At 44.7% G+C, this 14,404-nt stretch overlaps 1 long non-coding RNA gene across 1 annotated transcript; it reads right to left on the bottom strand.

Moving 5' to 3' along the window:
* Positions 1-272: 272 nt before the first annotated feature.
* FAM224A (family with sequence similarity 224 member A) lies at positions 273-4,567 on the bottom strand. Its single transcript, NR_002161.1, has 3 exons — positions 4,410-4,567; positions 1,792-1,909; positions 273-456 (listed from the first exon to the last, which is right to left on the bottom strand). It is a non-coding gene; the product is annotated as a family with sequence similarity 224 member A (long non-coding RNA).
* Positions 4,568-14,404: the final 9,837 nt, after the last annotated feature.

Here is a 14,404-nt window from a genome sequence, read left to right as displayed (position 1 = left end):
CGGAGTGGGGAAAGGAGGGGAAGGATGGAAGTCCCCACAGTACACTGGGTCACAGCACCCTCGCAGGCAGTCCCCATAACTAATCAACCAGGGCCCCTGGGGGGGGGACACAGCCTAAGTCCCCACCCATCAGATCATCTGGAACTTCCATCCAAATACCGACTGGAAATTCTCTCAGTCAAGCTCCAAACCTAAAAGAATCACTGCCACACCCACCAGGACTAACACAACTTTTAAAAGAATCATTTCTGTGTTTTAGGTGCATCCGTGTATTTCTGTACAACAAAATTATTTATTTTAAATGTTACTAGTTTTTTGCTTCTTACGTGTACAGTCTCATGATAGATAGACAAGGGGACTCTTCAGTCCAGAGTCCATGAGGCCAGAAGCTGACATCCTCAGTTCTTATTCAGAATGAATTTAAACAAGCCAGCCAAGCGCCCTGCCATGAAACTCCTGGAAAGACAAGCGATTAAGAAAAGAAAAGAAAAACAAAGTAAAAAACAAACAAACAAACAAAAAACAATGCCGTCAGGAGCAGTAGCTCATGCCTTTAATCCCCGCACTTTGGGAGCCTGAGAGCGGGTGGATTCCTTGATTCCAGGCAATCAAGACCAGCCTTGGCAACATGGTGAAACCTCATCTCTTCAAAAATACAAAAATTAGCTGGCTTCATAATTTGGACTCAAAATTAATAAATAAATAGTTTGAAATTTAAAATGTAAAAATATCTTAATTGCTGTATTCTGTTATTTTTGCATCCTATCGTGAGAAGGACATAATATAGGTATTATCTGTCTCTCTGTTTGCAACAGGGTCTCGCTCTGTCTGTAGCCCAGGATGGAGTGCAGTGACATCATCATGGCTCACTGCAGCCTCAACCACCCCAGGGTCAGGTGATTCTCCCACTTCAGCCTCCTGAGTAGCTAAGACCCCAGGCATGCACCTCAGGTTTTGGCTGTGTTGTCCAAGGCTTGTCTCGAGCTCCCAGGCTCAAGAGATCCTGCCGCCTTGGCCTCCCAAAGTGTTGGGGTTTCAGGCTTGAGTCGCCGCACCCAGCCTGACTTAATACATCTGGTCTCACTACGTCCTGACTACATGCCCTTGAAGAACTCAAGAGAGTTAGCAAGAGACTTTCAGCATTCTCTCCATAAACCAGTGAGGTGGATGGCGGCTGAGTGTCCTGGGCTCCTGTGGTTTTAGGTGGCCATGCGTAGAGGATAGATTTCAAATGTTTCCAGAGAGGTGGGAGCCACAGTCATTCGGGGCATCCAAGCTTGGGATACAGTTTCTGACAGCATCTTAAGGGCCAGGAAGGGCCAGGATCTGCCAAGGCTGGTGTTCCACGGTGGGGACAATGGAACCCAAGGTAGAGGGAGCCATCCATCCACACTGAGCTCCAGCCCTAGACCCCACCATGCAGATTAAGTCAGAAGGAACAGTCCTTCCTCCTACACGCCACATCCCTCCACTCAACTTGGGAGCAGATCTGTTTTCCAAACATGAGGTGACTCTCTGTTTGAAATGAATCACAAGGGGCCCAGCTTTCTTGAGTCGGCAGGATAAAGAAGTCATTCTGTGACATAGAATGAGATATGCCTCGAATCTAGACTCTCCAGTTAAAACCAATGATGGTGGCCAGGTGCAGTGCCTCATGACTGTCATCCCAGCACTTCGGGAGGTCAAGGCTGGCAGATCACGAAGTCAGGATTGTGAGATCAGCCTGGCCAATATGGTGAAATCCTGTATTTACTAAAAAAACAAAGGTTAGCTGGATAGGGTAGCACGCACCTGTAATTTCTGCTACTCGGGGGGCTGAGGCAGGAGAATCGCTGGAAGCAAGGAGGTGGAGATTGCAGCCAGCCGAGACCATGCCACCGCCTTGGCGACAGAAGGAGACACCATTTACCTAGAGGGATAAAAGAACAACAGGGTCCGCACCAGGATGGAAGTTCCCTAGGCAGTGAGGGAGAGAGGGAGGGGCCTCCAGAAGGGAAGGAGAGAAAGCAGTTGCCCCAGGCTCTGTGAAGTGGCCAGGCGGCCCTCAGTGCCACCTTTAAATAACAGTGGCCACTTTCAATAACAGTGGCCTTTCAATAACAGTGGTCACTAGGTGATGACCTACTTTTAAAAAAAGCAAAACAAAACATTTATTTTGAAAAATTGCAATTTAGGCTGGGCGCGGTGACTCACACCTGTTATCCCAGCACTTTGGGAGACTGAGGCAGGCAGATCCCTGAAGGTCAGCCTGGGCAACATGGTGAAACCCTGTCTCTACTAAAAAAACAAAAGTTAGGTGAGCAGGGTGGCATACACCTGTAATCCCAGCTACTCAGGAGGCTGTGGCAGGAGAATTGCTGGAACCAGGGAGGTGGAGATTGCAGCCAGCCAAAAAAACCCCACAGCCTGGGCTACAGAACAAGACTCTATTTAAAATAAATTAGTAAATAAATAAGTGAACGAATATATGTAAAAAGAAAAATGCAAGGAAATGGCGGAACTCGGGAAGGCTCCCCTCATTCCTAAAGACCAGAGCAGAAAAACAGGACCATCAAGTTCAGACACAGGCCATTTTGAATCTGTTGTCACCATGCTCAATTGGTGCCAAAGAAGGGTAGGCTTCTGTGCCACCCATCTGTCATCACCACCCTTGTCAAATATAATTGCAGGGTCACGACTGCACAGAGATCTCTCAACCCACTGAATGCATCCGTATTTTTATGAGCCCCGTTGGGAGAATAAACAGGATATTTAGAAAAGTACTCATCGTGCGTTATTTGGTCTCCCATGTCTCTTGTGAAACCAAACAAATTTATGGGCCATTTTTTTTTCTTTCCAGCACTTGACCATCCATACAGTACCTAAATAAAAGAAGAATGAATGCATTTTATGAAACAAGGAGAAAAACAACGAAGCGAAAGTCTCAGAGGCTTGTGATACACAGGGGTATACAGAATGAGGAGACTTCCAGAATCCAAACAAAGACAGACGGAGGGATGGGAGGAAACGAATTGAGAAAAGAGACACACAAAAAGATGAAGAAAAATAAATGCAAAGAAAAAGAGACAGAGATGTAAAGGGAAGAAAGATAAAGAAAATAGAAAGACAGAGAAACAGAAAAAGAGAATAAGAAATGACAGAAAGAAGGGAGGAAGAAAAAGAGAGAGAAGAAAGAGAAAGAAAAGAAAGAAAATGAAAGAAAGAAAGAGGAAGAAAAAAGAAAAATAAAGGAAATAAAAAAGAGAGAAGTGCATCAAGGTTTACACCTGTAATCCCAACACTTTGGGAGTTTGACATGGAAGAATTGTTTGAACCCACCATTTTGAGACCAGCCCTGACAATACAGTGAGACCATGCCTCTACTTAAATAAAATAAAATAAAATAAAATAAAATAAAATAAAATAAAATAAAATAAAATAAAATAAAATATAATAATGTTAGCCGGGCATGATGGCAGGCGCCTGTACTTTCAGCTCCTTTGGAGCCTGAGGTGGGAGCATCCCTTGGGCTCGGGAGGTGGAGGCTGCGTTGGGCCTTGGTCAGGTAATGCACTGCAGCGTGTTGTCCAGGCTGGTCTTGAACTCCTGAACTCTAGCCAACTGCCTGCCTCAGCCTCCGAAATTGCACCTGCCATATTCAACGGCCCTGGGGGTATCAGTGACAGACTTTAGTAAGCATGGTTGTTATGCCATATTGCCCAGGTTGGTCTTGAACTTGAACCCGGGAATTTGAGGCTACGGTGAGCCAAGGTCATGCCACTGTACTGCAGTCTGGGTGATAAAGCAAGACCCCATCTCTAAATATCTAATTAATAAAAACAATAACAATAATATAAACAATAATACAAATAAATAACAAACAACAGCAATAATAATAAACAAACTAGTGAGAGTGAAAAATATAAAAATAAAAAAGGTAATTTAGATCACAATTAATTGCAGTAATTTCAAGGAGTTATTTCTTTAACCTGTCTCTCTTACTTTCTGAAACAGGGTCTTTCTCTGTCACTCAGGCTGGAGGGCAATGGCGTGATCATGGCTCACTGCAGCTTCGACATCCCAGAATCAAGCTATTCCTGCAATCTCAGCCACTTGGAAGGCTGAGATGGCAAGAACACCTGCGGGAGCCCAGGAAGGTTGAGGCTGTGATGAGCCGAGAATGCAATCTCACACTCCAACTTTTCAAAAAAAAGAAAAGAAGAATTAGAAGGAGAAGAAGTAAACATAAAACAACAGCAACTTCAGTGTGTAGAAAGGGGAGTAAGAAAAGTAAAAGGAAAAAGAAAAACAAAATGAAGAGCAGCTGAAAATACTGTGGAAACAGTTGGAGAGGAAGAAATGACGTGGTGAAAGAGCAGCCTCTAGTGGATGCAGGTGGTAGTGCTGCTGACCAGAGTTACCCGTTCTACCTTAACAATCCCAAGTTGACGGTCAAGTCCAGCGCTCGCCGATGACATCTTATGGACCCAGGGCTCGCGGAAGGACCCAGTTGGAACTTTATCACACCAAGCCGGCCCACCTTTGCTGCCATCTAACTCCGCCGACCTGCCCGCAGTTCCCCACTCTCCGCTGGTTGACCGGGGCAGCGGAGAGAGGAGGAAAGCACAAAGGCAGTGACTGGTTCATATCCCATCGCCGCGCGCCTGGGGTGGGGAGAGGGGCCGTGACCCCATCGGCCACCACTGGGCACGCGTGAACACTACTCGGACAGGAACCGCAGGGCACACCCTCGGACAACCACTCCTGAGTCATTCTCACCAGGCTCGGTGAATCCAATCTCAGCCCCTGGAGGAGTTCCCAGCGGGGTGCGAGGAGGAGGTGGAATCGGAGAGGTGGAAGGAGGAGCAGGGGAGCCACCTCTACCTCAGCAACCCCTGGCGCGGCACCTTGGAAAGCCCGAGGGTGGGGACGTGAGCCTCCCAATGCACAGCGGGCGCCGATGAGCTCTCGCGAGAGACACCCACTGCGTGATCCGGGGCTCAGGGGTGGGTGGGCATGAGCGGGCCAGGGAAGAGGTTCTCGGGAACAGGAGAAAGGAAGGAAGGTATATGTCAAGGGCTGAATTACACAGGACACACCACATCACACACCACATCACCAGGTCCTCCGCACACGGGTGCAGAGAGCCTTGTGTGGAGGTCTGACTTTCAATAGATAGCAGCGAGGGAGCTGCTCTGCTCCATGGAAAACCCTGACCCAGAAGCAGGACGTCTGCGAATAGTTTAGCATCAGGTTCCCCACAAACACGTTATGTGATGGGTCAGGGGGTGACCGCCTTTCTGGCAGCAGCCCGTTTCCCAGGATGGGGGTTTCTCTGCACCGGATCCCGGTTTCCGGAGCACGGCAGGACATGCGCCCAGCGCGGGGCGGAGCGGCACACCGGAGGGGACTGCAGAAGACTGCCTACCCGAGGCCAACAAAGGTTCCGTGGCGCTGCCTTATCATTCCTCATGGGCGGGATTCTTAGAGTCCTTCAGTCCTAATCCCGCTTATAGTAGCTTTACCCCATTGGCTCCTCAGACAAGGACATACACCAAATGTCTGAACCTGTGATTTCTCTACTAATGAGCAGGATTACCATGGGAACAACACATGGGCAACAACACATGGGGAACACACGCAGTAAAACTAACCTGTCTCACATGGGTCTAACCATAATGCTTTCCAGGGCATGCGCACCGCTCTCAGGTGAATCCATTCCAGTCTGCCTTGTCCTTCGCAAAGAAAAGAGAGCTCTGCAGGGGCGGTGGCTCATGCCTGTAATCCCAGCAATTTGGGAGGTTGAGGAGGGCCGATCATCTGAGATCAGGAGTTCAAGATCAGCTTGGCCAACATAGTGAAACCCTGTCTCTATAAAAATACAAAAATTAGCCGGGCATGATGGCGGGTGCCTGTAATCCCAGCTACCCAGGAGGCTGAAGTGGGAGAATCGCTTGAACCCGGGGAGGCGGATGCCTCCCGCTTGAACCCGGCAGGCGCACATGCCACCATGCTGGGCTAATTTTTGTATTTTTAGTAGAAACAGGGTTTCACCATGTTGGCCAGGCTGGTTTTGAACTCCTGACCTCAAGCAATCTGCCTGCGTTAGCCTCCCAAAGTGTTGGGATTACAGGCGTGAGCCACCGCACCCAGCGTATGTGTATAGAGCTCCTCGAGAGGAAAGCCTCTATTATTACCATTGCAACAGTAGAAAAAGTAAAGCTTTTTTTTTTTCTTTTGAGTAAGAGTTTCACTCTTGTTGCCCAGAATGCAGTGCAATGGCCTGATCTCAGCTTACTGAAACCTCTGCCTCCCAGGTTCAAGCTATTCTCCGGCGTTGGCCTCTCAGGAAGGTGGGATTACAGGCATGTGCCACCACACCTGGCTAATTTTGTATTTTTAGGAGAGACAGAGTTTCACCATGTTGGTCAGGCTATTCTCGAACTCCTGACCTCAGGTGATACACCTGCCTCGGTCTCCCAAAATGCTGGGATCACAGGCATGAGCCACTGTGTCTAGCTTTTTTTTCTTTTCTTTTTTTTTGAAATAGTGTCTCCATCTATTTCCTAGGCTGGAACACAGGGACATAATCCTAGTTCACTGCAGCATCAAACTCCTAGAGCTCAAGCAATCCTCCAGTCTCAGCCTCCCAAGGGCTAGGATTATAGGTGCACGCCACTACACCTAGGTATTTTTTGTTTTTTGTTTTTTTTCTTTTTCTACACAAAAATGTCTCAACATGGATTTTTTTTTTTTCTTTTTTGGCAGAGATGCTGTCTCACTATGTTGCCCAGGGTGGTCTCAAACTCCCCGCCTCAAACCATCCTTCCACCTAAGCCTCTATAAGTGCTAGGATTACAGGCATGAGCCACTGAACCCAGCCCCAATAATTTTTATTTTATTTTATTTTATTTTATTTTATTTTTTTTTTGAGGCAGAGTCTTGCTCTGTCAACCAGGCTTGTGTGCAGTGGTGTACTCTCAGCTCACTGCAACCTCTGCCTCCCAGGTTCAAACAGTCCTCCTGCCTCAGCCTCTTGAGTAACTAGAATTACTCACGCATGCCACCACACCTGGCTAATTTTTTTTATTTTTAGTAGAGACGGGGTTTCACCATGTGGGCCAAGCTGGTCTCAAACTCCTGACCTCAAGTGATCCACCTGCCGTGGCCTCTCAAAGTGCTGGGATTATGGGTGTGAGCCACCACACGTGGCTCCCAAGAACTCTCTAAAGGCACCTAGTGTCACAAGAACAGATAGCTAAACTGTATCTGAAAAAGTGGCTCAAGTGGGGAAATTTTTGGCAGATTTGGGGAAACTTAGGGCAAATTTTAAACATGAGGCCTTTTGTCAGATCACCTACATTCTTTGGATTCAATGTGGGTTTGTCACAGATGCTTGGTGTGACAAATTGCATGGCTTCTACCACTTCATTTGATCAGCCTCCTATTGACTTTCAGCTAAGTGCTGCAGAATTGCTTCTCAGATTGTATCTTTCCGCAAGACAAAGCTATTTCACAGTCTCTAACTGTCCCATTTTGTGGCTGTTAATTTATACTTACATGTTTTTCAACTACTTATTCTGGTTTTCTGTTTATGAAAGCTTTAACCTGTGCTATTTTGAGGGAAATACTGATGCATATCTAAACTTTAAGAGTGTTTTTCACCCTGGCTGCAGACACTTGGTGAATAATTTTTCAGGTGATAGAAAAACCCATCATCATGAGAATGTAGCAACTTTTATTTTGCAGTAACTGTTAAAACTGTAGCTGTGGTGCTCAGTAAAATGGGACCTTTCCCTTGTAGGTGTTTGGGGAGGAGTGAAGTCCTGTCCTCCATTTTGTTAGTAACCTGCTTATGGGTGGGCCATTATCACCCAGAAAGGAAAGGGATACCATGGTATGCAGTTACACGGAGCTGCAGCAAGAGCAAAAAAAAGAAATTCCCTCATGTCTCCAATGCAGAGCTGGCATTTATACCTCTAACCCAGGCAGGGCCCACAAATCTCTGGCAGCTGTGAGCACCTGTTTTGTTTCTGCCTTCTTCCAGTTGGCAATTTTGGCTTTTGGGTTTTGGGTTTTTTTGTTTTTTTCTTTTTTGAGACAGAGTCTCACTCTGTTGCCCAGTCTGGAGTGTAGTGTAGTGATCTGGGCTCACTTCAAGCTCTGTCTCCCGGGTTCACGCCATTATCCTGCCTCAGCCTCCTAAGTAGCTGGGACTATAGGCACTCACCACCACGCCCAGCTAATTTTTTTTTTTTTTTTTTTTTTTGTATTTTTAGTAGAGACGGGATTTCACCATGTTAGCCAGGATGATCTCAATCTTCTGACCTCATGATCCACCTGCCTCAGCCTCCCAAAGTGTTGGGATTACAGGCGTGAGCCACTGCACCCAGCCTTTTTTTTTTTTTTTTTTAGACAGACTTTCACTTCGTCACCGGGCTGGAGTGCAGTGGTGTGATCTTGGCTCACTGCAGCCTCTGCCTCCTGGGTCCAAGTAATCCTCTTGTTTCAGCCTCCCAATTAGCTGGGATTAAGTTGCGCACCACCACAGACAGCTGATTTTTGTATTTTTAGTAGAGATGGGGTTTTGCCGTGCTGCCCAGGCTAATCTCGACTTCGTGATCTCAAGTGATCCGCCCACCTCAGCCCACCTCAAAGTGCTGTGACTACAGGTGTCAGTCACCTTGCCTGGTCTGTTGACAATATGGGGGGCATGTAAAATATCTGCAGCCCTTTAGCCAGTAAAACACAGAAGACTGTAGTATGTGGCTTCTCCATTCTCCCTCTTTCTCTGCTCTCCTAAATATTAAAGGGTTCTCCTTTTGCCAAGCCCAGTGGCAAAGCCTCAGGAAGGGTGGAGGTATCAGAAGCATCCAAAGGGATCCCATCAAGTAGCTCTAAGTCACTCTCATTCACCCCATTGGAAGTTCCTGCCATCCTGTATGCCCTGGAAGCTTCCTAATGCAGGCAGATAATATCCTTGGTGTGCTGTTAGTGTGGAGACTCCCTCATCTTTGCTCTTCTGCTTGAGAAAAAAAACTGACTGGTTACGGTGGCTCATGCCTGTAATCTCAACAATTTGGGAGGCCGAGGCAGGTGGATCACTTAAGGTCAGGAGTTCGAGACCAGCCTGACCAACATGGTGAAACCCCATCTCTACTAAAAATACAAAGGTTAGCCAGGCATGGTGGCAGATGCCTGTAATCCCAGCAACTCAAGAGGCTGAGGCAGAAGAATCACTCAAACCCGGGAGGCAGAGGTTGCCATGAGCCAAGATCACATCACTGCATTCCAGCCTGGGCAACAGAACAAGACTCTGCCTAAAAATATATAGAAATATAATATAACATACAAATATATTATATTTATATATATAAATTTTTAAATAAATGAATAGAATTCATCACCTAACTTCTAAAGCTACTTCTCTGGATGAAATTCTGGGCACTTAGGAGTCAGCAGTGGTATATTGAGTGTATGGCTCTTGCTCACAGGTGCTTCTTTTCTGTCCCATGGCAGGCAGCACAAAATGAAGGCTCCTGCAAAGCTAAGAGCTCCTTTTGCCCACGGATCAGGAGCAAAGTTTGCAGCTACACTGTCGGCTGTGTTTGGATGTTAGCAGTTAGTTTAGCTTTGCGTCTTCAGAACGATTGTTCTTAGCTACTTTAAAAAAAAAAAAAAGAAGAAAATGAAAGAAAAGAAAACTTAAAATGTTCTTCATTGATCATTCAGGAGCATACTGTTTAATTTCCATGTAATTGTACAATTTCAAAAGTTCGCCTTGTTGTTGACTTCTAGTTTTATTCCACTGTGGTCAGGAAAGATACTCAATATAATTTCAATAATTTTAAATTTGTTGAGACTTGTTTTGTGGCCTAACATATGGTAGAATAGACCAGAATAGGGAGAATATCTCTTGTGCTGATGAAGGAATGTGTTTTCTGCATCTGTTGGATGAAATGTTTTGTAAATATCTCTTTGTTAGCCTAAAATGTAGTTGCTTTTTTTGTTTTTCTTTGAGACAGAGTCTCTGCTGCCCAGGCTGGAGAGCAGTAGCATGATCTTGACTCAGTGCAACCTCCAGCTCCCACGTTCAAGCAATTCTCATGCCTCAGCCTCCCAAGTAGCTGGAATTACAGATGCCCGCCACCACACCCAGCTAATTTTTGTACTTTTAGTAGAGACAGTGTTTTACCATGTTGGCCACGCTGGTCTCAAAATACACAAAAAATATATATATTTTTTCCTTTCTTCCCCTCTTAATTGTTCATCCTTGTAATTTGGTGGATTTGTGTAGTGATAAAGTTTGATTCTTGTCTCTTTCTCCTTTGTGTATGTGTTCTACCGTTGAGTTTTATACTTTTTTTGTGTGTTTTCTTGATAGTAATTATCATTTCACTTGCAGATGTGGGACTCCCTTGAGAATTTCTTGTAAAGCTGGTCTAGTGGTGATGAATTCTGTCAGTTTTTGCTTGTCTGAGACATTTCAGGCCTTTAGCTTCAGGAACTGATTCTAGTTCCCTGTCCTGTGGCGACAAATAGAAACAGATCCCTGGTACCATTCTTAGGTACAAAGCCAGCTAGATATGAGCAGATAAGAAAATCAAATCCTTCTATTTTGCCAGGGATTAATTCATTCCCAGGATTGTAAATATTACATTTCACTTTTCATCTCACAGAACCGTGAGACTGGAAGTTGAGCTGGGCAGCCTGCCCAGCAAGACATTATGATGTATGCAACACAATGAACTACTAAAGAAGTGTCTTTAAAGGTATTTACAGCACATAGCTTTTTTTTCTTTTAATTTTGCTGCTCTTTATTTGCAGTAGCAGGTAAGGAATTAAGAAAGCAAAAATAAGTGCTTTGACTAGGTCTTTTGCCTTTGAAAGTAGCATTCGTAAAATCCCCTCTTCTTTTTTATTCGTATAAACTTCACCCAATTCAATCTGCCCCTCCCCCCAGCCCATCTGTGTTCACATGCTGTTCTTGCTGCTCTCAGTTTTTAAAAGCTTATTCCAAAATTACATGAAAGTAACCACATTTTGACAAAATCAGAATTCTGGTAGGAATGGCTTACCACAAGGCTGTTGAAAGACGCCCAGCAAAACTTTAGTACTTTTTATTTCAACCTCTCTCGGTTAAACCTACAATTTGGTAGTTGATATTATTACCTCCCTTTGGCAGGCCTGTGTCTCTGCCTTGGAGAAATAACAAAGTCCAAAGTAGTCTTCTCATTCAAAGATGTGGCAAATGAAGGCTGTTTTGATCTTTATGTATTAGCATTTGGGTTTTAATCTTTCTGGGGCTCCTGACAGACTATTCCTTTAAATTTATTATATAATTCTAAAATATTGGACACATTTGTTTCAAGCATCTGTCAATATCCTTACTATTTTCATTCCACTTCCCACTGCCCTCAATAGTCATTAGGTCCTACTGATTTTTATCTCCTAAGTATTTGTCAAATCTGTCTTCTCTGTATGTATTGTTCCTTATATAACTGCATCTCCATTGTCACTGTGCTGCTTTGGACTATCTTTTCTTGTCTAGATCAGTGCCTGAATTATATTATGAGCTTCGTAAAGTTGTATCAATGAATGAATGATTCATAATCTGGGCACTGCATTCTAACACTTAACTGAAAAAAAATCTTAGATCTATCTTCCATGTAAAAGCATATCTAAAATGCAAATCTTAATTTGATAATCTCCAGCTTAATAAAACTCTTAGATGGCTCCCAGACGTCCCCCAAACCATCTCTCATTTCACTGATCAAAAAAAATTTAAAATTTTAAAACTAAAAAAAAATTGAACACTTTATTGGTCAAAAAACAAAAACAAAAATGATCTCGGAGCGTACCTCACTCACACCCCACCCTGCTCTGTTCCCCTCTCCCACCCCCAGCCTACAGGGACCATCCAATAACCCCTTCTTTGCTACATAACCCTTACCCTCCTTCTTCAATACTCATACTTTCTCCTTAGAAACCTCCCCCCCACTTCCGGGCAACAGTAGATTCTTTCTTGCTTATGTTTTTTGTAATGACATCAGCCATTTAGAACTCATGATGTGCCTAGGCCCCACTATCTGCCTCTCCACAGATCTTGCTCAGACAATTCTTCAGGATTTAGTCACAGATCCAAAGTAAGGAGCTAGAAGGGAGCTTCAGGCTTGGTTTTTTTGGGTTGAAGCTAGAAAGCTAATCTATGTTGAATGCAAAACAAACCAAGTAATAGCCAACCTATACATCCTAGGAATATCGATTGCTTTTTATTTTTGCTCCCAGCCATTCTCTCCACAGGACTCTCTCCTTCTTTACATTTCTTTTAAACACAGTATATTAACACAACACTGTGTGAGAAATGGGATTCAGAAAACCAAGATACAGGTCTCCTTCCGCTATGCTATGAGTCAGCCATGAAAACTCTCTGGGCCTCACTGACTGAATTGTAATATCTGACTTTAATGAGGATTATATTCATTGAACTCTGAGGTCCTGTCCATTTCTTACACCCTGATGCAAAGACCGCAGAGAACTTCTAACCCAGATGTTTTTAACTAGGCTTCTTGTATGTCTGGGAAGATGATGAAAGAACTTCAAGGGGATCACGAGCTCCTTAAATTCTATCTAAAATCCAAGGCCAGGTGCCGTGCCTCACGCCTATAATCCCAGCACTTTGGGAGACCGAGATGGGTGGATTGCTTGAGCTCAGGAGTTCAAGACCAGCCTGGGAAATATGGTGAAACCCCTTATCTATTAAAATACAAAATAATCAGCCTAGTGTAGTGGTGCATGCCTGTAGTCCCAACTACTCAGGAGGTTGAGACACAAGAATTGCTTGAACCCTGGAGGTGGAGAACGTTGCAGTGAGCTGAGATCATGCCACTGCACTCCAGCCTGGGAGACAAACAGAAACTCTGTCCAAAAAATAAATAAATGAATGAATGAATGAATAAATAAATAAGTAAAATTAATTATATGTAAAATCCTATGTCAGATGGCTGCATCACCTTGGCCCACGGAGGGGGTTTTCTTTTCTTTTTTTCTCTTCCAAGGTAATGATAGTCTATAGCTCACTGCTGCCTTGGCCGCCTGGGCTCAAGCAGTCATCCCACCTCAGCCTCCTGAGTAGCTAGGATAAAAAGCACACTCCACCCTGCCCAGTGAATTAAAAAAAAAAAAAATGAAGCTGGGCACAGTGGTTCATGCCGTGAATCCCAGAATTTTGAGTGGCCAAGTCAAGAAGACTGATTGGGTCCAGGAGTTCAAGAAGCTGAGAAATATACAGACCCCATTTCTACTAGTAAAAAAATAAAAAATAAAAACATTAGTTGGGCCCAGTGGCATTCACCTGTAGTGCCAGCCACTTATGAGTCTGAGGCAGAGGATTACTTGAACTGAGCAGTTCAAGGCTGCATTGAGCTATGATTGTGGCTTTGGACTGAGCCTTGGTGACACCACAAGACTCTGTCAAAAAAAAAAAAAAAAAAAGAGGCTACAGGTAAGAAAGTACTTGGATAACACTAAAAAGTTAAACTCGTGACATTGGACCTTATGAAATGTGTGTTACCCAGAGCTGTTTATAGTATGATAGGTCCCTCCTAGATAGTATTCAAGGTTTAATACAGAAACAGAGCAAGACTCTGTTTCAGAAATAAAATAAAGTAAAATAGCTGGCCATCGTGGCTTGCACCTGCAGTACCAGCTGCTCAGGAGGTTGAGGCAGGAGGATGTCTTGAGCCCAGAGAGTTAGGGGCTACAGTGAGCTATGATCATGCCACTGTACTCCAGCCTACATGACAGAGGAAGACGCTGTCTCTAAAAAAAATGATAACAAAAGTAACTAAAAAAGAACTCTGGGCCCCACCTGAGAGATTCATATTCATTTGCTTTATCACAGGGTCATGGAACCTGTCCCAGTATCCTAAAAGCCGCCTCAGTGAGTTAACAAAAGTACTGGTATTGAAAGAGATGTCAACATGCTGTGACAAAGAGAAGTCTCCTCTGTGAGGCTGGGAAGTGGGGCCAAATGAGGTTTTTTTTTTTTTTTGAGGAGCTGATTTAGGACAACTAAAATGGTTGTCAGAGAGCACAAGAATCTAAGGAAGGCTTGAGACCATGAAACTGTGGTGGCCTCAGCTGGTGCTTCTGTGCGCTTTCTCCTCTCTCAGCATGGTGGAATCAGAAGCAGAGAAGGCAGATGGCGGGATGACTCAAAGTTCGGGTTTTATCAGAGAGGAGGAGTAGGAGGAGAGTGTGTAAGGCAGATCAAGGAGTGTTATTAAGGGGCTCAGGTCCTAGACCGTGGGCCTAGCAGGTAGGCCATGAGGGTCATGAGGGATGGGGAAGATGCATCGCAAAGGGCCCTGAGAACCAGGGGAATATGCAACACCAGGGGCCTGGCAGTTCCAGGAGAGTAGAA

Source organism: Homo sapiens, chromosome Y (genome assembly GCF_000001405.40).
Source record: "Homo sapiens chromosome Y, GRCh38.p14 Primary Assembly".
In the NCBI taxonomy this organism is placed as follows: Eukaryota; Metazoa; Chordata; class Mammalia; order Primates; family Hominidae; genus Homo; species Homo sapiens.
The sequence above is the reverse complement of the archived record's forward strand: the minus strand, read 5'-3'. Positions and strand labels throughout refer to the sequence as shown.